At 44.6% G+C, this 24,213-nt stretch overlaps 1 protein-coding gene and 2 long non-coding RNA genes across 4 annotated transcripts in view; 2 read left to right on the top strand and 1 right to left on the bottom strand.

Moving 5' to 3' along the window:
* The window catches only part of SLC35F3 (solute carrier family 35 member F3), a 419,836-nt gene that overhangs the window by 352,401 nt on the left and 43,222 nt on the right, over positions 1 to 24,213 (top strand). The window lies entirely within an intron of this gene.
* SLC35F3-AS1 (SLC35F3 antisense RNA 1) lies at positions 13,332 to 15,946 on the bottom strand. Its single transcript, NR_183711.1, has 2 exons — positions 15,126 to 15,946; positions 13,332 to 14,355 (listed from the first exon to the last, which is right to left on the bottom strand). It is a non-coding gene; the product is annotated as an SLC35F3 antisense RNA 1 (long non-coding RNA).
* On the top strand, positions 15,987 to 19,753 carry LOC105373206 (uncharacterized). Its single transcript, XR_949283.4, has 2 exons — positions 15,987 to 16,807; positions 17,092 to 19,753. It is a non-coding gene; the product is annotated as an uncharacterized LOC105373206 (long non-coding RNA).

Below are 24,213 nucleotides of genomic sequence, written 5' to 3' on the forward strand. Positions count from 1 at the left end.
GTAAATTATACTTTAATGAGGTTAATTTTTTAAACTGAGATAAGTAGGTTGGGGATATAATTTTATGACCAAACTATAATAGTGCAACATATTGTCTGTCACCTTATGCTTGACTTTTACTCCATGATCCTGAAGAAAATGATTTTTACATAAATATTCAAGTACTTTGTCAATTTTTCCAGTCTCCTCTAAATCCTTTAATATTCAAGTCATTCTCTTTTAAACCCTCTTTGAAGTTATTATCCTTGTTGAATTTCTCTTCTTTAGTTGTTAATTCTCCTAAATCTGCTGTTTCTAGTTGGTCAGTGGTTTTTTTGTATGATTTGAGTTGTTCTCTTAACATCACTGCCATAGATTACTGATTTGATTTTGTCTTTTTAAGATTTGCCATTTGCTTTGTAACAAATTGCCATGTATTTGCACACAGCAAAAGAAGATGGACAAGGATTTGAATCAAAGGATGGACATAGATGCCAGTGTTGAAAAGGGAAAGATATTTGAGTTGGAAGTACTTCTATATTGCATTATAGCTGGTTCATTAGGGAATAATTTTATGTTAGGGTGAATTTTGCTTTTCTATACAACTTCGTAACTACAGAGACTGCAATAAGAAAGTTGTAAAAGTGCGTTCAAGAAAGAGGATGCATTTTAAAAATCAAATGGTTACATAAAATCAAGCAAAACTAATAGCTAATACAGTGGATGGCCGTATTGAGATTTAAAAACATATTGACAAGGTTGAAATGATCAGCCTAAGCCAGGAAGGGGAGATTTAACAAGCATTCCTTTTATAGGTAATTGCATTTGATAGGTATATGCATTACCTATTTAAGTATAAATGTCCAGTGTAGGTTGGACCTGTGGCTTGTCTGTAGTGCTTACAGGAAACCCTTGGTTTTGTAATCACCTGACAGTGTAATCGCCTGCAGTTCTTGCCCACTGTACAGATAAAGCCAATTCACTGAGATGGTGGTATTGCAGTAGAGAAAGTGTTTAATAATCATATGGTTCACCAAGTGGAAGAAGGGGAGTTAATTACTCAAGTCAGCCTCCCCGAAAGCTTGGAGGCTATCTTCAAGAATAGTTTGGTGGGCAAGGGTTTAGGGAATGGGGAATGCTGATTTGTTGAGTTAAGGATGAAATCATAATGGGGGGTCAAAGCTGTCTTCTTGCACTGAGTCAGTTCCTGGGCGGGAGTTCACAGGACTGGTTGAATTAGTTCCTCAATATGAGTCACAGGTCCAGGTGGACTCCCTCAGTGAACAAATTGGAAAAGTCTGAAAAATACCTCAAACACCAATCTTAGGTTTTACGATAATGATATTACCTGTGGGAGCAATTAGAGAAGTTACAAATATTGTGACTATCCCTACATGACTCCTGAGCAGTAAACAATGACTAGTTATCATTTAACTATGCCTAGGTCTTAGTGGAATTCAGGCCCCTCCCATAATTCTAATCTTGTGACCTTTCATTAGTTTTACAAAGGCAGTTCCATCCTGAACAAGGAGCGAATAGTTTTGGAAAGAGGCTATTATCATCCTTGCTTTAAGGTTAAACTATAAACTAAATTCTTCCCATAGCTATCTTGGCCTATGCCCAGGAATGAGCAAGAGGTTGTGAGGTTAGAAGCAAGATGGAGTCAGCTATGTCAGATTTCTCTCAGATTTCTCTTACTGTCCTAGTTTTGCAAAGGCATTTCAGTTTCAGATCATGTCTGGGTCAGTACAAGCCAACAGTATCAGATAACAACAAAAGAAGCTAATGTCATTCTGTCTGGGTTAATTAAGGTACACCATCCAACTAGTGGAAATAAAAGTCATGCTGTGTTCTACACTGATGCAAACACTTGGAATAGTATGTCCTGTTCTGAGCTCCACCCTCTTAGAAAGGTGTTGATAAGTTATTGAATCCAGAGGAAGGTATATGGGGTATTCGGGGAAAGGGGAGAGTAAAAACCACTTCTTATGAAGAATGGTTGAGAGCAGTGGGAATATTAATCCTGGATGAAGTAAGACTTTGGGAGAGCCTAATAGCTGTCTTCAGACCTTCAAACCAAAAAATAGAGATCTGTAGCATTTTCCTGTTGGACAAGATGACCTCTAAAACTCCTTCTCCCTGGAAGATTCTTATTCCTATTGTGTTAAATCTTCACTTTAAAAGACCTTCTATTCGTACATTCTACTTCTTCCTCCAGTATATTGCATAAGCCTTAAACGAAAACCTATCACTATCATTTGACAGCAAGCTAACAGCTTCCCACCTCCCATTAGCTAATTGAAATCAACAATAATAAGAAAGAAATAGGGTTTTTATTCAATCCAGACGGCCACACACATAACTGAGCTGCTAAGTAGAAAGTTCCAGGATGCTTCTCCAGATGCAGCCTGAGGGGTCCTCCAGTTCCTCTGGGGCAGGGTTGCTCAAACATAAAGAAGCCATCTTATTAGCCAGGCATGGTGGTGTGCGTACCTGTAGTCCCAGCTACTCGGGAGGCTGAGACAGGAAAATTGCTTGAACCCAGGAGGCAGAGGTTGCAGTGAGCGGAGATCGTGCCGCTGCACTCCGGCCTGGGTGACAAAGCGAGACTCCATCTCAAATAATAATAATGATAATAATAATAATAATAATTTATCTCCTGATTTACACTCACACCATTGTTTAGGCAGGGACAGGGTAATTTCTCTAGTGGACTGTTTTTGTTTTCTGGTGGTTGCCTATCTACAGATATCACTATATCTATAGATCCATGAGCTATAGATATCACTATATTCAGTGATATCTTTGTTTTGATGCTCTTCCTTAAAGAGTATAATCACAGCTTCAATATAATAAAATCAAATTCATTCAGACCCCTTTCATTAAGAGTTAATTTTGATAGAGATTAAACTGCCCCTCGTAGTTTTCTGAGCTACTCCTGAACAAGAAGTTTGCTAAGCAAATGGATAGGGTAGGACAGGTGGGGAAAGGGTGTTTAACTTCTACGGCAAAAAAAATGAATAGGTTTTTAAATCTTTTGAAGCTTCCATCTACTTGAAATCAGTTGGCATGATAAGTGAATATTCTCTTTTCTGTACATCACACTCCTTAGTACTGGTTACTATGTCTCAAAACAGTTTTCAGGGTTTAGTGTGTAGAAGAATCACCCAGGAAGCTGGTTAAATGCTGATCCCAAGGCTCAGCCTCTAGACATTCTGCACTTCGTGAAAGGCTGCCATATGGACCCAAAAGCAAAAATATGCCCTTCTCTTCTACTTCATTATGTTCTCACTTAAAAAAAAGAGAAAAAACTACTTGTTTAGACCAAAGAAGTGAAATTTCACATTGTAGTTCAGAAAAGAATTCAGCGATGGCCATCTGGAATTAAGGCAGAAGTCACCTGGGGAGCTTGGGGTTTCTCTATATGAGTTCTGCTCAGGATCCCAGAGAGCCCTCTGGACGGAGATCATGGTCTTCCATACTGGGTCCTCCTTCTTTGAGTTTTGAACGGTAAGACTAGCCTAGGCTGAGGGGTAACATTCTGGGGTCAGGACTTGGGATATGAAATTCAGTTATCTTAATACTATGGACAGCCTGCTTAACTTTGCAGAGCCTCATCTTTTTCATCTATAGAAGGGGGATAACAAACGATCTTAATGTAGTCAGGTTAGTATGAGGCTCAGGTGAGTCATTTCCTGATTAAGCACATGGCACCGGGAGAAACTCCGCATACATAAGTGCCTCACGTCTCCCTCCATTTCCTCCACCAAAGTTACCCAACAGCAAGAACAAGACACTTTACTGCACGGACTTCCTGTGTTCGCCTCCCTCGATTGTAACCTCCAAGTATACACAGAGTTCCCATGAGAGGGAAATAGTTAAACATCAAAACAGGTATGAGCAACTTATGTTTTCTGCTTCACATGAAGCCAAACCTAGAAAAATGGAAGAGTTTAAGGACCGAAATTCTTTTTCCCTTAAAAATGAAAATAATTGTATTAAGTAAAATTTTGGCTAACACAATGCTAAGTGGGGCTTGTTGGTGGCAACCCATCCAGGCTACCTCCCGAGAAAGTGTTACCAGAAAGGAGTCCTGATCCAGACCCCAAGAAAGGGTTCTTGGATCTCATGCAAGAAAGAATTAGAGGTGAGTTTACAGAATAAAGTGAAAGCAAGTTTATTAAGAAAGTAAAGGAATAAAAGAACGGCCACTCCATAGGCAGAGAAGCCCTAAGGGCTGCTGGTTGTTTCTTGATCATATGGTAAACAAGGGGTGGTTTATTTGAGTTTTCTGGGAAAGGGGCAGGGAATTCCTGGAACTGAGGGAATTCCTGGATCTATAACTGATATAGTTATCCTATATCCATATAGAATAACTTCTGGATGTTGCCGTGGCATTTGTAAATGGTAATGGTGCTGGTGGGAGTGTCTTTTGGCATGCTAATGACTTATAATTAGTGTATAATGAGCAGTGAGGATGATCAGCTGTCACTTTTGTCACCATCTTGGTTTTGGCGGGTTTTGGCCGGCTTCTTTATTACATCCTGTTTTATCAGCAGGGTCTTTGTGACCTGTATCTTGTGCCTATCTCATCCTGTGACTAAGAATGCCTAACCTCCTGGGGATGCAGCCCAGCAGGTCTCATTTTACCCACACTCTATTCAAAATGGAGTCACTCTTGTTCAAATGCCTCTGACAAAAGCGGTGTGACAAGCCTGGGATTCCCATAGTGATCATGCTGGTAGGAGTGAGGTGTTATTATTTAGAAACACTATTGCACCCGCTAAGGATATGCATGGATAAGGTGAGTGAGAAAAATGAAAGGGCTTAACTAGTGTCGTACAGCCAGTGAACAGCAGGGCAGAGACTCAAACTTGGGTTTGCAGATGAGAAATCCTTCACCTTTCTATCTCCACAGTATTGACATCTCCCCAGCCTCTAAGGCTCACCCCAGGACAGTTGCCTGGTTGGGTAGGAAGCTGTTGGTGTTCATCTCAACAAATATTTACTGAGCACTTACAATGTGCCATGCTCCATATTAAATGCTGGAGGGTAAAGTGATGACTAAGAAAACCTCAACTTTCAAGGCATTCTATAATGTGCTACAAAGGGGAGGGAGTTACTTTAGGAAAGGGAGAAAGAGTGTGAAGCAATGTGCTAGTAATTATCAGTGAGAAGGATAACGTTGGACTAGCAGGGGGAGAGCCCTGCTGTGGCACTGACTTGCTTGCTGTGCATTTAGGCGAGATATTTCTTCTTGTGAGCCTCTGTTTTCTCACCTGTGAGATAGGGTTAATAGACTGATGTAACAAGCTTGTTTGATATGACTATAAGAAATACTTTGAGAATACATGCATTAATGAAAGCCCTCTCCAGTGCCTGGCATGTGGTTGGCACTCAGGAATGGTGGTGTCTGTCCTGGGAGTGGTGGTTGCAGTGGCTGCTTTAGGATCTGGCTCTTCTTACAGGAGAAAGAAACAGTTCCACTTCCTTCTAGGTAAGCTGTTTTTATTACTCCCTTCCTGGTCCTCCGGAGGGCCGCTGGCATTTGACTTTGGCAGAATTAGGACCTGAGTATGCCAAATGAAGCCTCTCTGGTGCCCATACTATCAGCCTGGATCCTGCAGGTAAGCTGCAAGCTGCAACAGCTTCAGGCACTGGTACAGAATGCGGTTCCGGTTGTGGTCTGAGGGCAGGTGGTGAGACCCTCTGCACCACCAAGTCACAGGCTCTGTTCCCCACTTCTCCTTTCCAGCCCCAAGGTGCGGGTTATTGGAATTCAGCTAGCTTTGGGAAAACAGGACTGTTTGTATTCTAACACAGAGCTGAGTCTCTATTAGGCAAACAGCCCTTTGACTAATGGACTTGGCCTTGGAACAAGAGCAAGCTGCTTACATTCCCAGGTTGCCACAGTTCTGGGCTACAGTTTGTATCCGGAGCAGATATGCCAGTGATCATGTGGCTTTGCATATGGGTACCCTGCTGATGGGATCACACACATAAGTCACATACAAGACTGCTGGTGAAAAAAAAGGAGTTGCTATGTACCTCAGATGACTGATCCTGCTAATCCTGGTCCGGGTGCTACCTGCAGGGGCCAAAACTGAGAAGCTCTGTTTGAGAAAGGGAGAGACTAACAGAAGCATGATGAGAAAAATCTGGGAGTTGGGGACTAGGAGTTAAGGCATATTTAGGTTCTATTTAGGATGGGGAACTTAAAAGAGATATGAATTTTAAAAGAACAAAAATTTTAAAGAGAGCTAAAAGAATGTTAAAGGAGTACAGGAATTTCTGATGAGAATTTTAACTCTTATTAAAATTATTATTTAGTATGCAAAATAAACCCTCTGTTCCACCTCCCTTGTGAAATCTTAGGTAAAATTCATCTTGCTTGCGTCTATATTTATGGGCTTTGTTGACTCGGGAGAGTATGCAACAGCATTTTGAGCCTTGATTTAAGGCTGGGAGGTTCTCAAAATGTGATCCCTGGAGCAAGAACATGAGTACCACCCAGGAGCTTGCTGGAATTGTGGTCTCAGGTCCCACCCCAGACCTGAAACAGAAACTCTGGGGATGAGGCCCAATCCTCTGGGTAATTCTAATGCAGTTGAAGTTTAAGAACCACTGGGGCAGGGTGACATCCTAGAAGCAGCACTTAGAGACAGCCAACACTTGAGATTTACTAGTGTCACCCACGAGAAAGCTAGGACACTTGTGCTCAAGGCTGGCTGACATTAGAATCACCAGGGGAGCTTTTAAGAGTCCAGATGCTGGCCCAGCATGGTGGCTCACGCTTGTAATCCAGCAATTTGGGAGGCCGAGGCGGGCAGATGACCTGAGGTCAGGAGTTCGAGACCAGCCTGGCCAACATGGTGAAGCCCTGTCTCTACTAAAAATACAAAAATTAGCCAGGCATAGTGGCAGGCACCTGTAATCCCAGCTACTCAGGAGGCTGAGGCAGGAGAATCACTTGAACCCAGGAGGCAGAGGTTGCAGTGAGCCAAGATCACACCACTACACTCCAGCCTGGGCGACAGAGCAAAACTCTGTCTTAACAACAACAACAAAAAATGCCATAAATTGGGAGGAAATGTTAGCAATACAGAAATATTAGCAATACAAATAACTGAAAAGGATTAATATCCAAATACCATTCACCACACCCTGAGACTAACCCACCAGGTGTGCACAAGGAACCTTCCACTTGGTGTCTGTTCAAGGACCTCACTCCAGCAGTTGTTCCCACCTTCTGCTGGATCATGTTCATCGCTCATTATAATATGATAGCTCTAAGAATTTAAAAAGTACACCTGGCCAGGTGCCACCTTATTTATCTCTCTGAATCCAGCAAAACTTACCGGAAGAGTAGTCTGTACTCTGTCTCCCTTTCTCTCTTAAACCTACACCACTATGGATGAGCTCTTATCAGAGTCATATGTTGCCAAATCCAGTGACCATTCTTAGTTGTCATCTTACTGTTAATTTTTGTTTTTATTTTTTCATCTCGTTGATAGAGGATCTTGCTCTGTTACCCATGCTGGAGTGGAGTGGCATGATCATAGCTCCATCATTACTACAGCCTCAAACTCTGGGGCGGAAATGATCCTCCAACATCAGCTTCCTGAGTAGCTAGGACTGCAGGCACACACCATCATGCCTGCTAATTTCTAAATTTTTTGTAGAGATGGGGTCTTTCTGTGTTGCACAGGTTGGCTTCAAACTCCTGGGCTCAAGTGATCCTCCCACATCAGCCTCCTGAGTAGCCAGGACTACAGGCATGCTCCTCCATACCTGGCCAGTATTCCTTTTACCTAAGCTAACACTTGAACCCTCCTTATTGTTTACCTGGGACACTGAACTTTTTGTGTCATCTCCCTTCCTCTCTGGCTGTTCCTTCTCAGGCTGCTTTACTGGTTCCTCCGGCCTCCCTGAACTCTGAACAGTCCAGGGCCCCACGCTCAGTCCTTTGTCCTCTCCTCTGCAGTGTCTACGCTTGCTCGCTAGGTGAGCCCCTCCTGTCTCATGTCTCCCTGATGATGACCCCCAGATGCATGCCCTCAGCCTGGACCTCTTTCATGAATTCCAAGACCTATAACCAACAGCCTGTTCAACACCTGCCCTCGAATAGCAAGTAGACATCTCAAATATAACATGTGAAAAATCAAACCCTTCATGTTCTATTCCTCTCACAATCCTCCCCACCTTGAATTACAGCAGCACCATTCTTGCAGTTGCACAGGCCAAAAATCTCAGCATTATTTCTTCTTTTTTTCTTTTTCTTTTTCTTTTTGTTTTTTTGGTAGAGATGGGGTCTTGCTATGTTACACAGGCTGGCCTCAACTCCTGGACTCAAGCGATCCTCCCGCCTCACCCTCCCTGAATGCTGGGATTATAGGTGTGAGCCACTGCATCCAGCCTCAGCATTATTTCTGATGCCTGTCTTTCCCTCATGCCCCTAGCCAAGCCAGCAGGGACCCCTTTTGACTGTACTTCCAGAACATATGTAGAAACTGACCACTTCTCACCAGCCCCACCATGTCCCCCCAAGACGAAGACATCATTCTCTCCCTTGTGTCACAAGGTTAGCCTCCCAAGCGTTCTCCATTCTTCTTTCCTTACCTCCCTGCAGTCTGTTCTCAACACAGAACAGTCCTTGAGACAGAAGCCTCCTGTCACTCCCCTACTCAAACCCCTGTAGTGCCCCCACCACATCACTCAAAATGAAAGCCAGAGTCTATGTACCCCACATGATGGAGGCCCTGATCCTTCTCCTCCCTTCTCAGCTGGGTCTCTGTCCCAGGCTCCACCCACACTCCAGCCTTTCCTCAGGTCCCCTGCCCTTTGTGTTTGCTCTTCCTCCATGGCTCTTCCCATGACGTCTGCAGGCCTCACCCTCTTACTCTGTTCAGGCCTTTGCTCAAATATCACCCCTTCAGGCTTTTCCTGACCCTACAGCTCAGCAGTCCCACTCCCTCTCTCCTGCCCAGCTCTGTTTTTCTCTACAAGGCATAGGAGCATTGACACACTATTTACTCTATATGTGTTTGTTTGCTCTCTGTACTAGGATACATGAGGAGAGGGACTTTGTTTTATTCACTGCTGTATCCCACAACCTAGAGTAGTGCCTGGTGTAGAATGAGCACTCCATTTCTCAAACAACTTAAATATTTTTTAAAGTTCTGCATATTATAAAAAAATACAGTAGAAAATGGGCAAAAGATTTTGACCTGCATGTAGAAAAGACACAAATGGCCAACAAACATGAAAAAAAAATGCTCCACTTATTTAGTAGTCTTGGAACTCCAACTAAAACTAACAGTTTATGCCTTTTGTGCCCACCAGAATGGCAGAACTAACAAAGCAGACAGTATCAGGCGAGGTGAGGATGTGCAAGTTCTGAACCTACATTCATTGTCAGTAGAAGGATAAATATTTACTATTCCTTTTGAAAACACTTTTACATCATATCCATACAGTCTTCCATCATGTAACATTGGGGATACATTCTGAGAAATGTATCCTTAGGGATTTCGTTGTTGTGTGAACATCATATAGTGTACTTACACAAGCCTCGACGGTATAGCCTGCTGCACACCTAGGCTATAATGGGATAGCCTAATTGTTCGTAGGCTGCAAACCTATGCAGCGTGTTACGGTACTGAATACTGTAGACAACTGTAACACAATGGTAAGTATTTTTATATCTAGACATATCTAAACATAGAAAAGGTCCAGTAAAATATGGTATTAACATCTTATGAAACCACCGGTATATATGCAATCCATCATTGACCAAAATGTCCATATGAAGCACATGGTTTTTTTTTTTTTTTTTTTTTTTTATTGATCATTCTTGGGTGTTTCTCGCAGAGGGGGATTTGGCAGGGTCATAGGACAATAGTGGAGGGAAGGTCAGCAGATAAACAAGTGAACAAAGGTCTCTGGTTTTCCTAGGCAGAGGACCCTGCGGCCTTCCGCAGTGTTTGTGTCCCTGGGTACTTAAGATTAGGGAGTGGTGATGACTCTTAAGGAGCATGCTGCCTTCAAGCATCTGTTTAACAAAGCACATCTTGCACCGCCCTTAATCCATTTAACCCTGAGTGGACACAACACATGTTTCAGAGAGCACAGGGTTGGGGATAAGGTCACAGATCAACAGGATCCCAAGGCAGAAGAATTTTTCTTAGTACAGAACAAAATGAAAAGTCTCCCATGTCTACTTCTATCCACACAGACCCGGCAACCATCCGATTTCTCAATTTTTTCCCCACCCTTCCCGCCTTTCTATTCCACAAAACCGCCATTGTCATCATGGCCCATCCCCAATGAGCCGCTGGGCACACCTCCCAGACGGGGTCGTGGCCGGGCAGAGGGGCTCCTCACTTCCCAGTAGGGGCGGCCGGGCAGAAGCGCCCCTCACCTCCCGGATGGGGCGGCTGGCCGGGCGGGGGGCTGACCCCCCCACCTCCCTCCCGGACGGGGCGGCTGGCCGGGCAGAGGGGTCCTCACTTCCCAGTAGGGGCGGCCGGGCAGAGGCACCCCTCACCTCCTGGATGGGGCGGCTGGCCAGGCGGGGGGCTGACCCCCCCACCTCCCTCCCGGACGGGGCGGCTGCCGGGCGGAGACGCTCCTCACTTCCCAGACGGGGTGGCTGCCGGACGGAGGGGCTCCTCACTTCTCAGACGGGGCGGTTGCCAGGCAGAGGGTTTCCTCACTTCTCAGATGGGGCGGCCGGGCAGAGACGCTCCTCACCTCCCAGACAGGGTTGCGCCCAGCAGAGGCGCTCCTCACATCCCAGACAGGGCGGCGGGGCAGAGGTGCTCCCCACATCTCAGACGATGGGCTGCCGGGCAGAGACGCTCCTCACTTCCTAGATGGGATGGCAGCCGGGCAGAGACGCTCCTCACTTCCCTGACTGGGCAGCCAGGCAGAGGGGCTCCTCACATCCCAGACGATGGGCGGCCAAGCAGAGACGCTCCTCACTTCCCAGACGGGGTGGCGGCCGGGCAGAGGCTGCAATCTCGGCTCTTTGGGAGGCCAAGGCAGGCGGCTGGGAGGTGGAGGTTGTAGCGAGCCGAGATCACGCCACTGCACTCCAGCCTGGGCAACATTGAGCACTGAGTGAACCAGACTCCGTCTGCAATCCCGGCACCTCGGGAGGCCGAGGCTGGCGGATCACTCGCGATTAGGAGCTGGAGACCAGCCCGGCCAACACAGCGAAACCCCGTCTCCACCAAAAAAAAACGAAAACCAGTCAGGCGTGGCGGCGCGCGCCTGCAATCGCACGCACTCGGCAGGCTGTCAGGAGAATCAGGCAGGGAGGTTGCAGTGAGCCGAGATGGCAGCAGTACCGTCCAGCTTTGGCTCGGCATCAGAGGGAGACCGTGGAAAGGAGACCGTGGAGAGAGGGAGAGGGAGAGGGAGGGGGAGAGGGAGAGAAAGCACATGGTTATATACTTATGACCTAACAATTCCATGCTAGGCTTTTATGGATTGGAATCCAAAGAAACTGTACAAAAAAGAATGATAGCAGCAGCAGTGTTTTTAATAACAAAACACCCAAAAGCAACCCAAATGTTCCAACAGAGGAATGGAAGTCATTAGACCACTTCCTACCAGCCCTACCATGTCTACCCAAGACTGAGACATCAACGTGGGGATCTCATGTTGAAATATGATCCTGATTGTTCCACGTGCCACACGATGGAATATCATACGGCAGTGAAAATCAGTGGACTTCGGCAGTAGACTTCTCCATGGAGGACTCTCTGCAACATAGTGTTAGACAAAAAAACTAAAGCAAATCACAGATTAATACAGTGTGATTCCACTGATGTGATGTTTGAGGCCTGCACACCTAAACTATATGTTGATTACACACACATACACACACAGACACATATATAGTACATACCTATTATAAATACTATAAAAAACGTAAAAGGAATATAAGCCCATGATAATAGTAGTCTATTGGGGAAAAGGAAGGACTCATGGAGTCTTCAAAGTTACTGAAAATGTTCTAGTTTTTAAGCTTATTGTTGAGCATACTGTTATTTCACCTTTCATGTAGTGTAAATATTTTTACACATCCAATATTTAGTTTAATATGTTAAAGAATATTTCATTTAATATTTTAAAGAAAATTTTAATTGGAGGAGGACCATTTCCTGATATTGAACTGTTAACAGAAGCAAAAAAGGGGCCTCACCCTTCCCACAGCTGGTGAGATTATCAAACCATGATTACTGAGAGATGGTGTCTAAAGGGCCTCCTATACAGGCAAGGTGGGAAGTAACCAGAATAGAACAGAATAGATCAACCAGGTGGTACATCTTCCAGGGATGCCCAGGATCAAATGCAGGGCTAATTTATGCTAAGTTGACAAAAGTACCTATTTTGGTCACTGTCCCTCCTTCCTGCAGCCCAGTGTGTCCCAGACCCCACCCACCCACTCAGGCATGCATGCTGCCCTCCCTTTACATTCCCAAAACTGGCACCCCTTGGTGAGTTGCAGAGCATGCTATATTTCTAAGTGCCATAGTTTGGATGTTTGTCCCCTCTAAATCTCATGTTGAGATTCAATCCCCATTATTCGATGCGGGGCCTAATGGGAGATGTTTGGCTCATGGGGGCATGAATAGATTCTGGGTTGTGTGAGTTGTCACCCTGTTAGTTCCCATGAATAGAACCCCTGGATTTGGGATGTGTGTGTTCTCACCCTATTAGTTCTCATAAGAGCTGGTTTTTTAAAAAATGGCTGGCACCCCAACCTTCTCTCTTGCTTCCCCTCTCACCACGTGATCTCTGCACACACTGGCTCCCCTTCCGCTTCTGCCATGAGTGGAAGCTCCCGGAGGCCTCCCCAGAAGCAGGTGCTGGTGTCATGCTTCTTGTACAGCCTGCAAACCATGAGCTAAACAAACCTCTCTTCTTTATAAATTCCCCAGCCTCAGGTATTCCTTTATAGCAACACTAAATGGACCAAAACACTAACCTTCACATCTTCATTAAAGCCCACAAACCCATGCCCATTGTCCACTTGCTCTTCTAGGACAAACTGAGTTACAAGGATTAAAAATTCTCACTAATACATGAAGACTAATACCTCCTGATTAATACCTTCATTCCTACATGTGGATTTTGTTTTCGTTCATTTTGGTTATGCAAAATTTTTGGCACCTGCCCCCTGCCTCAATTCCTCCCACACCAAGAAACCATCTCAGAGTCATTTTGCTTCTGCCAGTGAGTCATAAAATCATCCTGGCTTCAGAAAGGGAAGCCACCAGCCTCAAGGAGAGGGTCCATTCTACAAATTCTATAAAGAAATTCTCAGGTTATCTTATCTTCTCAGAAATAAAACAGATAAATCTATTGTTGTTTACATATTGAGGGGTATGTGGTTGAGGCATGGCCGGTGATACAGATAAATAATTTTAGGCTAAATTAAACATTTCATCATGTTGATCTGTGGCAGAATGCAGCTTTTAGACCACAATGCTACCGTTCCAATGACATTCACTTCACCCTCATCCTACAGAGCCCTTGGAGAAAGTGGTAATTGCCTACAAAGCTCATTGCACATTCTGGAGGTCCGTGCTGGCCCAGCCCTGCTAACTGTGATGGATGGACATTCTAAGCTGAGATGAGAGCAAAGGCTTTTTGCGAGACAAAAAGGCAACTGATTGTTTCAGGCATCACTCTTGAAGGATGTTCGTGTAACAACTTGCAAGGCCAAATTGGGATGATGCCTGCCTGACGCAGGGCTTGTCAAGGTGGGAGGCAGGTGTTGTAGTGGCCCAGGAGAGGCAAGCTTGATGATGCTGCTCAGAAGTTGTCCTCATCATGCTTATAGAAGGTTTAGTGTTGACCAGTGCCAATTCTATGCATGTTGTGATATGGGAAAACATGGCCTCTTCTGGGAAGAAGGGATCATCTTCTCTCCAGCAACACAACTCCAACAGCAGAATAATTTGATTGTAGGCAATAGCCTAAGTGTGCATTTCTTGGATTCTAAAGAACCCATTTCCTGTGGAATTTTATTGCTGTTAAAACTTGGATGAAGTTCAAATCATAGGCTTTCTAAAATAGTCAGAGGCCAGCTATAAATTTAAAGATGTGTGGGAAATATGAGTCAGTCGAGTCCATTCGGTTGCCCCAATCATTACTACTGAGATAGACTTTCTACGTAGGTTTATTCCTATTGTTGTCATGAGGGTCCGAGAAGGCACAAGAACTGAGCAAAAAACACACTTATTTTGAAGCATATACAGGGCACCTATAGTATGATGAGTCATTCTTCATTTTCAGATCGTTAAAAAGAAAAGTCCTTGAAATCTTGTTGCTGAACTCTTGTGGAAACTAGTAATACAGAAACTGAAAACAGAATTATTAGTAAATGTCTCACCTTCTCTGGTTCAGAGTTTTTTCGTTTTGTGAAAGAGAAATAATGCTCTTTCTGTTATCTTTGATTGAACAGGTGTTTGTGAGGTCCCTTGAGACCCATCAGGGAAAATGTAAAAGGTGCTATAAATTTTAAAATGTTATTTATTATGCATTGATGTTATTTAATAATAATACATTTGCCGAAAGCAAGAACTTCATTCATTGAGATTTGTGTCTCAGGTTTTATCATATCATGAATAGACTTTGTACACAAAGAAAAACTAAAATATTGCTAGTAAATCAATCTGGTACCATGATCCCAGTGAATAATGATAATTCCTTGACCTTCAATTAATGAGTGCAGGGATTGAGCTCCATTTAAGAAATGTGTGAAGAGAACAAGGCCAGATGCAGTGGCTCAGGTCTGTAATCCCAGAACTTTGGGAGGCGAAGGTGGGTGGATCGCTTGAGTCCAGGAGTTCAAGACCAGCCTGGACAACATGGCAAAACCCCGTCTCTACAAAAAAATACAAAAATTAGCCAGGCATGGTGGAGCATGCCTGTAGTGCCAGCTACTTGACAGGCTGAGGCAGGAGGATCATTTGAGCTCAGGATGCAGAGGCTGTAGTGAGCCAAGATCATGCCATTGCACTCCAGCCTGGGCAACAGAGCGAGACTCTGTCTCAAAAAAAGAAAGAAACAAATGTGTGAAGACAACAGGCAGAGAATGATAAAATCCATTCATATTTAAGAATCCTTACCTGGCCCTCCTAATGGAATATTCTAGAACCGTGTATACTTTCCAGGGTATGGAAAGTAGGAGTAATAGAAGGGCAGCACGTAATTATTAATAAAACTTTTCAAAGAGGACAGGAAACAAGACCTAAAGCGTTCTAGAAGTGGAGAAACTCACTTCAACCACAGACTATAAGACCAGACAAGTTAAGAAGTAGCACTTCCAGAACATCTTTGCATGTATACTTTTGGAGTAACATCTTCATCTCTGATCCTCCCCTGCATTTGAAATTGTTCTGAGATAGGGTGGACTGGGATTGTGGGGTGAGGGTAGGGTACAGACATAGACCAATCCAGCCGTCTTCAGATGAGTCATGAAGGAAGTCGAGAGATGGATGAGGACTTGGCCTCTGTGCTCTTCAAGATCCCTTCCACCCTGGAGAGTCTGTGTCCTGTGACTTCCCCAAAGAAGCTTTATTGCTCTTTCTGAAGATGCTTCTAGAACAGCATTGGGTCTTTCTTAAATCTCAGGTTTTCCCATTCTTTTTCCTTTCCATGATAGTGACCACTCCCATATAGACTTGCTTTCCAAATGGCGTGCTGCCTGGTTCCACATGTCCTCTTGGTGGGTGGCTGCCTGCCCCTGTTTGTTGTTCTCTTGCCTGGCTGCTGCTTCTCCCAGCCAGTGTGGACAGCAGGCTCGCTGCCCCTGATGTGCCATGGGGTCAGCACAGCATCAGAACTCTCAGGTGGACTTGGAAGCCCGCGCAGGACAGTCACAGCCCCTGGGGGCTTTACTAATGAGGCTACATGAACTGCCTCTCTGGTCGGCACTCCTCGGATCCCTCTCTTGCTTTTCTGTCACCTTTTCCTTGTATTCCCTAATCCATTATTGAATCATGTGTGCATTATGTCATCATCTGACACCTGCTGCATTCAGGGAATTGCCAGCATGGGCTCACTCCAGCTGTCCCTGCCTGGTTCTCTGGAGTTGGCACTCCTACCTTCAATGCATCGATTTGAATCATTATTTCCAAACCCAGACGTCTGACTGCCAGCTGTGTCTACTTATTTTTACTATCCCTTATACAGGCTGTTGCCTATAAGTCTTCAGAAGCTTGGCGATGGCTTTCTTTGACTTTCTTTATTGATGACTGCCCAGAAGGGCCCACACCGGTGTGAGTGGTACAGGGGATGCAGGGAACGCAAGCCCAGGCAACCCCCCTCCCACGAGCCTCCCTACAATTCCAGCAGTCTGTCCTGCCCCCCTATCTGGAGTAGCCAAGAACTTAGGTTTGTGCTGAGCATTTTTGAAGAGGCAGCAGGAAGGCCAGAAGCACATCCTGCTATCACAAAATAATACTCCATCTTTCAGGATCGTGAAAATTTGAGTTATAAATTACGTGATACAGATTCTAAATTATGCAAGACTTCACAAGAGGTCAGGTGAAGGCTGGATGGCCTCAGAAGGATGGCTTCAGAAGGCCTTCAGAAGGATTGCTACAATTCATCATGCACAAGGTGTTGAGGGTCTGGAGCAGGGAAGGAATCGGGGGCATCTGAATGGAGAAATGGGGACTTGATGGAGGATTCATGAAATGATTTTTAGGATACTTGAGGGCTTGGGAGGAATACACACAGTCTGGAAAGTCCCCCTGCTTAAGGGTGCCACAATCCAGCTCCCGGAGGCATCCAGATGAAGCAAAAGGTAAGACTGACCAGCACAAGTGACTGTGGACCGCATACTCATTACATGCTGCACATGGTAGCATTTGTGTACAAAATAGGCCACATGCTGGATAGTGTTTTGGTTAAAAAAAAACCATCACATGCATTGAACTCCACTTTTAAAAGGAAAAACAGATACAAAGTCAGTTATCTATGGTCTCCATAGCTTGATTCTTAAAAATTGGGGTTAGCGAAATGTTGATAGTTCTCAGGGGGAAATGTGAACGTTGGTTCTAATTAAAACTGTCTTATTGGAATTTCCAGGCAGCTGGAGAACAAATACAAAAATCTTAATTAAAAGACCGTTTTGTGAGGTCTTCAACTTCTTCTCCATTTCACCAACACGCTGCACAGTCTGTGTATTCAGCGTCACCAAAGAGATTTTTAATTCATCAGCCTGGTTTTTGTGGATTGTTCGTTGCCTTCTCAGTGCTGTAACACATAGAGACACTGGTACAGGCATTAGGAAGGATGGGAGAAGATACCAAATGGTATAAGACATGGTCTGGTATTTCCAGGGATAGGATCATCCATTTAGGAAAACAGCTACATAGAGACATGCACAACATTACAAAGAAACTCGAGAAATTTCACAGAAAACAGCACATAATCAATTGTCAAGTGGGATCCCTGGATAGTAACTTCAGGAAAGAGGAATGTCTGTGAGTGAGCACACCAAGGCCAGGGCACGAGACGCCAGGGCTCCCTGCTGACAGTAGGATAATGCACTTCTCTGCTCATCTCCTAACCACACTTGGAAAAGCCATCCAAGCCAAGGCGATTGTGATGGTGCAGATTCCAACTGCTGAGGAAGAACACCCTGGCTGGTGACTTTGCCCCTAGTCCTTGTCTATCTAGTCCTCACAAACATTAATCTTCAATGTTGTATACAAAAGCAGACAGAATTCTGCATTTCAAGGACTCTATTTCTGTCTTAAAAGTGGCATGCAGGCTTGGAGGATGCCAAAGAACAAAAAATGCCATGCAGAATACTAGAGAGGGATTTTATTTGCATTAAATGAAAAAGAATGAGTTCTCCATCAATGCCCTACTTCTTTCTTCATATACCACATTCCCACCCACTCCTATTCTATTCCAGACCCTCACCACCTTGTGACATATATTGCCACAACCCTTCTGAAAGCCTCCCTCATCGGAAAATCCAAAATCTGAAATGCTTCAAATCTGAAGGTTTCTGAGCACCGACAAGACCCAAGTGGAAAATTTCACACCGGACCTCATTTGATGCGTCACAGTCAAAACGTAGTCAAAGCTTTGTTACATGCACAAAATTCTTTAAAATATTGTAGAAAATTACCCTCAGGCTATGTGTACAAAGTGTATCAGAAACGTAAATGGTTTTCTTGTTTAGACTTGGGTTCCGTCCCCTGAGATAACATCATTGTGGATATGTAAACATCCCAAAATCCCAAAAAAAAAAAAATTAGAAATTCAAAATACTTCTGGTCCCAAGCATTTTGGATAAGGAATACTCAGCCTATATCTCATTCATTAAGATATCAATTTCATTCCCCTGAATTCCTTATTTTATGTCACCCCTAGTTAAGAGAACACAGATTCTTTTCTCAATATTGCAGAGACAGAGGGATGCTCAAAACTCCTACATCAGCTGAGATAGATAGGTGGGTGGGTTGGCTTGTAGGTAGGTAGTTAGGTAGGTAGATAGACAGACAGACAGACACACACACACACACAAACATACACACACAACACATATCCTGAAACAGACACACATCACTCAGGTCCTGACCTCAGATAGTCAGTTTTCCTGCAGTATGTTCTCCGATCAGGTCAACTCTGATAAATGAAACATCATTGGTAAGTATTGAAAAAAAAAAAATATATATATATATATATAGCACAGAAGATGCTGCTGCTGCTGCTGCTAGCTAACATTTGTTTAGTATTAATATGTGCCAGGTACTATTCTAAGCACTGTGCACATATTAAATAATGTAAACCGAATAAGAACTCAGTAGAGTAGGTACCTTTATTTTCTTCATTTCCATATAAGACTGAGGCACCAGCAGCTTTCATCCTTTGCGCAACACAACACAGCTATGAAATGAAAGAGTCAGAAGATGAGCTCAGGTGGTCCAAGCCCAGAGCCCACACTCTTCATCATATATGAGGCAACATTGGGAGAGGGTAGGTAGTTGCTATGAGACCTAGTAATGGTCATCAACTCAGCATTTTATCACCCCTTTTTACAGTTAATTAAGTAGGATATTTTAATGCAACAGAAATCAGGACAAATTCTCATTATAGCCAGTCTGTAAAGAGAAATGCTAAATTAAGCCTCTTCAATTTCAGAAATGCTGAAATCTAGTATATTTCCGGTCCTCCAACATGATGCGGCTATGGACCTGAGATAAGCTCTGAATGCCTGTCTTTTCTCATCCACAGTGAGACTCATTCACCAGAATCTGTGCATGTTCAGAACAGAGAGACTTAGAAGCTAGAGGAGGTCACGCAAGGTCGTGTAGCAGAGGCAGTGCTGGGCAGCTCAGTGTGGGAGACCCTCCCAGTATCCCTCTACTGTGTATAAGGCAGAGTACACATTCTAGATAACATTACAGCTTATTGTACATGGATTCTAACTAACTCAGTAGAAAGCTTCATGAAGATGGGAGCTGTGTCCTGTTGATCCATATCTATCACCAGGACCTGGCCCAGTGCCTGAGACAGAAGACATAACGGGTAATTAACAAGGAGGATTATGCACAGGAGAACAAACAGAACACACCTCTCTATTGCGACAACTCTCATTCAAGCAGACTTATTCTCCAGGCAGGTCACGTTCTATGCCTGTATTTCTGCTTTATAAATGGCTTGCAGGCCTGGCAGGTGCCAAAGAAAAAATAAAATGTCATGCAGAAAAATAGCGATTTTATTAAATGAAAAATGAGGAAGACTCTTATTTGGATGTTAATGGAATCCAGCTAGGGCCTTGCTATAAATAACATTTGGTGCCCAGCATCTGGCCTCTTGCCACTGGCATCAACAGTGAAGCAGGTGGAGGGCAAGAGGGGCTGATGTGGGCACCCAGGGGGAGTTTGGGGGTGTTCCTCTTCCCCTCAATGCTGGGCTTTCTCTGAACACTCATAACTTAAAATAGCAGTTTCTCAATTGTTTAAGAGGAAAGGGGAAAGACCAGAGCCATTCTCACAGGGATGATGGTGCCCTTCTCTAATGTCATCCCAGCCCTTGGCTCTTCACAAAACCATCATCCACAGTCCAATGAGAGAAACTAAATCCAGCTACCAGGGCTCTGTGTGGCCGGCGGTAGGTTGGGGGTTGAGGGGGAGTGTCCTCCCTGTCCCTGTGGATGAAGGTAATGGGGAGAGGCCAGCAGGCAGTGAAATGAGTGAGGGAGAGACAGGATGGTGTGGTTTGGAGGCTGCTGGACCGCACTTGTCAGATGTCATTGTTTTCTGGCTAGGAAGCTTTGGAAGAGAGGCAGCTCACCAAACAGCCGTGTGCTATAGCCAGAATCTCTAGCCCAAAGGGGAATCCCTTTACCCAGACACACTGGCCATCTCAGCACGACTCAAAGGCATCTTTACATCAGTGCTGCATAGGTAGAAAAACGTTTTCTACATTTCTGGCCCTTTACTTTAGTACTCTTCTAAATTATTGGCATTGGAAGTGGGTTTGTGTTCTAGCCCAAAGTCTTATGAAATGCTAACTGAACTTTACTAAAGAAAATACACAACAAAGGGTGCCACTGTTTCCTCCCACCCTGTCTATCAACTTCAGTACAGATTCCTATTGTTCTCTCATCATAACCAAGTAGAAATGGTATGCCTGCAAGGATGCAGCAATACACTGTGGATAGAAATTAGGACAAACAAGACTGATGGTTTTATATTTGTTTTCTGGAAGGCAAACGACACTGCGAAATGAGAGAGGAAATGGCTGACAAAGAAGTTATTAACTCTAAAAGGAGGATGTGCGGCATCACTTGGGAAAAAGAAAGACTAAAACAGCTGGGCGCGGTGGCTCACGCCTGTAATCTCAGTTGTTTGGGAAGCTGAGGAGGGAAGATGGCTTAAGCCAAGGAGTATACAACCAGCCTGGGCAACATGGTGAAACCCCATCTCTACAAAAAATACAAAATTAGCCAGGCATAGAGGCATGCGCCTGTGGTCCCACCTGCTCAGGAGGCTAAGGTGGGAGGATTGCCTGAGCCTGGGGGTTGGAGGCTGCAGTGAGCCACGATCACGCCACTGCACTCCAGTCTGGGCAATAAAGCAAGACCCCATCTCGAAAAAAAAATAAAAGGGCCGGGTGCGGTGGCTCATGCCTGTAATCCCCGCACTTTGAGAGGCCAAGGCTGGTGACCACCTGAGGTCAGGATTTTGAGACCAGCCTGGCCAACATAGTGAAACCCCATTGCTACCAAAAATACAAAAATTAGACTGGTGCAATGGCACGGGCCTGTAGTCCCAGCTACTCAGGAGGCTGAAGCACAAGAATTGCTTGAACCTGGGAGGCAGAGATTGCAGTAAGCCAAGACTGCACCACTGCACTCCAGCCTGGGCAACAGAGCGAGACTCTGTTTCAAAAGAAAAAAAAAAACGAAAAAAAAAGAGAAAAAACTAAAGCTGAGTTGTCATTCGCATTTCTTTCTCCTAAGATAACTTTTTGTGGGACTTGATTGGCCTCTTAGTCCTTTCAGGTTGCTGTAACAAATGACCATAGACTGGGTGGCTTTGACAACAAATATGTACTTCTCACAGTTCTGGAGGCTGGGAAGTTCAAGATCAAGGTGCTAGCAGATCCAGTGTCTGATGAGGACCTATTTCCCGGTTTGCAGAGAGCTGTCTTCTTGTTGTACCCTTATGAGGCAGAGAGAGCAAGCTCTCTTTTGTCTCTCTTACCAGGCCATTAATCCCACTGTGAGGGCCCCAACGCCATGACCTCATCACCTTCCAAAGGTGCCTCTCTGATACCATCACACTGGGGGTTAGGATTCAACATATGAATTTTGGCGGTGTGAACCCTGAATATCTGAGACAGGTATCAGTCAATTTAGGAAGTTTATTTTGCCAAAGTGAAGGATGTGCGCTCCTGACAGCCTCACGAGGTCCTGATGACATGTGCCCAAGGTGGTCCGAGCACAGCTTGGTTTTATGCATTTTAGAGAAACATGAGACATCAATCAATATATGTAAGATGAACATTGGTTTAGTCTGGAAAGGTGGGATGGCTCCAAGCAAAGGCAGGACAACTGTAAGTGGGGAGGGGACTTCCAGGTCATAGGCAGATAAGAGACAAATGGTTACATTCTTTTGAGTTTCTGATGAGCCTCTCCAAAGGGGGCAATCAGATATGCATCTATCTCAGGGAGCAAGGGGTGACTGAATAGAATAGGAGGCAGGTTTGCCCTAAGCAGTTCCCAGCTTGACTTTTCCCTTTAGGTTAGTGATTTTGGGGCCCCAAGATTTATTGCCCTTTCACAGGGGGCACACAAATTTAGTCCATAACAGCTTTTTAGGTGGGTTTTAAAACAGAAATCGGAAGACAGAGGGGAGACGAACATGAGGCTTACAATTTTTGATTCCCTGCTAGTCTGAGGGCCCAGAGAGTGAGGGACAGAGAGCCAGGAGCTGAGTGTGTCAGTAAGTCAGAGAAGAACATCGGCATGGTGTTCAAACAGACCTTCACAGATGGTGGGAAGTGGAGAACCTCACTGAAATCGTGCAGGGCTAGGAGCCCAGCACCCAAGTGAACATGGGCAAAATGTCTGGGAAATACCAGGCTGCCTGTGGAGTGGGCCTGGGTCGGCTGCTTACAGGGTGGGTCTAGAATAGAAAAAATGATTATGGCCAAAGCCTGCCTCACAGTGGAGAATAAAAACTAAAAATGCTAATTTGTGAATTGGTCCCATTTAAGGTTCTTTTCTCAGACCTTGGCTTTGCTCCATTCATTATGTTTTCTCCATCCCATCAAATTAGGGATGTGTTTTTCTTTCACAGGCACATTAGTTGGACTTTCCTAGACTGGCAGCATATCAGATAGGATAACTCAATTCAGGTAACAAATGATCACACTTGGCAATGGCTACATAAGTTGGAACCTGGCTCATTAAGTGACTCATGGTTCAACTACCTAGAGGGGTCTCCTCTGTGGTCTTTGATCCTCACACAAGAGCCACACAGAGCCCTACCCTAACAGAACATTTGCCTTCCCTTCCCATATAGAACATATTAACTAACATTTCAATGGCAGGGATTCCTCATTGGCTTCAATCCATTGCACATTAAAGAACATTCCTGCTTCCTTCTCAGCCCATGGCTTCCCCCAAAACGAGGGGGCCTACCAAATCATTTTAGGCAACAAATAGGCTTCCTCCTAAACTTTGTCTTCTCCTTATTCTTGCTGACCATCTGCTCTCAGATGCCTAAGCACATTGGTGATACAGAGAAGGGGCTATAATTAGAGTAAGAGTAACTAATGGCTGTTTAAACCTTTCTACTGAGAATCATCATTAGATATATTCACTCTGTAGCTGAAACCGGTTTTCTGTTTATTGGAAGCCAATGGAGAGAAGAATAACCCAAGTGACCAGGAAGTCTCAGCACAATATTGAGCTTGACAGCCTTCAGAATGGAGTGTGGGTAGAACAAGAAAATGGCTGAGTAAAGCTGAATTAAAGACAGGAAGCATGGTGACGAGGCCCTTTCACAGCCTGGGATGATTCTCCCAAGGTCAAGACAGTCTTTACATGTCATTATGAAGAGCCACATTTCTCAGCACTCACCACGTGCTGGTGTGGTACTAAGCACATGTGCGTACTCTATCTCACTTCCACCGCACAGTCATCCTGACAGGTAAGCATAATGACTGTGTTCCTTTTGCAAATGGGGAAACTGAGGCTCAGAGAGATTGAACAACTTGTCATTTGTCACAGGCAGAATTTGCACCCAAGTAGGACTCCAGATCCTACCTGGCTTACTCACTACTCTGCCCTCATCCCAACCAGAATGCTGAAGTTCTGTGTGCACCAGCTGGGGCTCCCATATGAAGGGCTGCGGATCCTGCACAGCAGCTTGGGTTCCATGCTGCATGCCTTCCTAAAGGCGGGAGTCAGCCAAGGGCATGCCTTCCCAGCCTACTGTGTTCTTATGTGAGTGTTATGGGCTAAATTGTGTCCCCCCCCCATGCTCAAATTCATATGCTGAAGCCCTAACCCCCAGTACTTCAGAATGTAACTGCATTTGGAGATAGGTCTTTACAGAAGTAATTAGGTAAAAGTGAGGTCCTTGGGCTCTGATCCAGTCTGACAGGTGTGCCTATAAGAAGAGGAGATGAAGACACAGAAGGGTGATGGTAGGAAGACACAGTGAGGAGATGGCCATC

Source organism: Homo sapiens, chromosome 1, assembly GCF_000001405.40.
Source record: "Homo sapiens chromosome 1, GRCh38.p14 Primary Assembly".
NCBI classification, from domain to species: domain Eukaryota; kingdom Metazoa; phylum Chordata; class Mammalia; order Primates; family Hominidae; genus Homo; species Homo sapiens.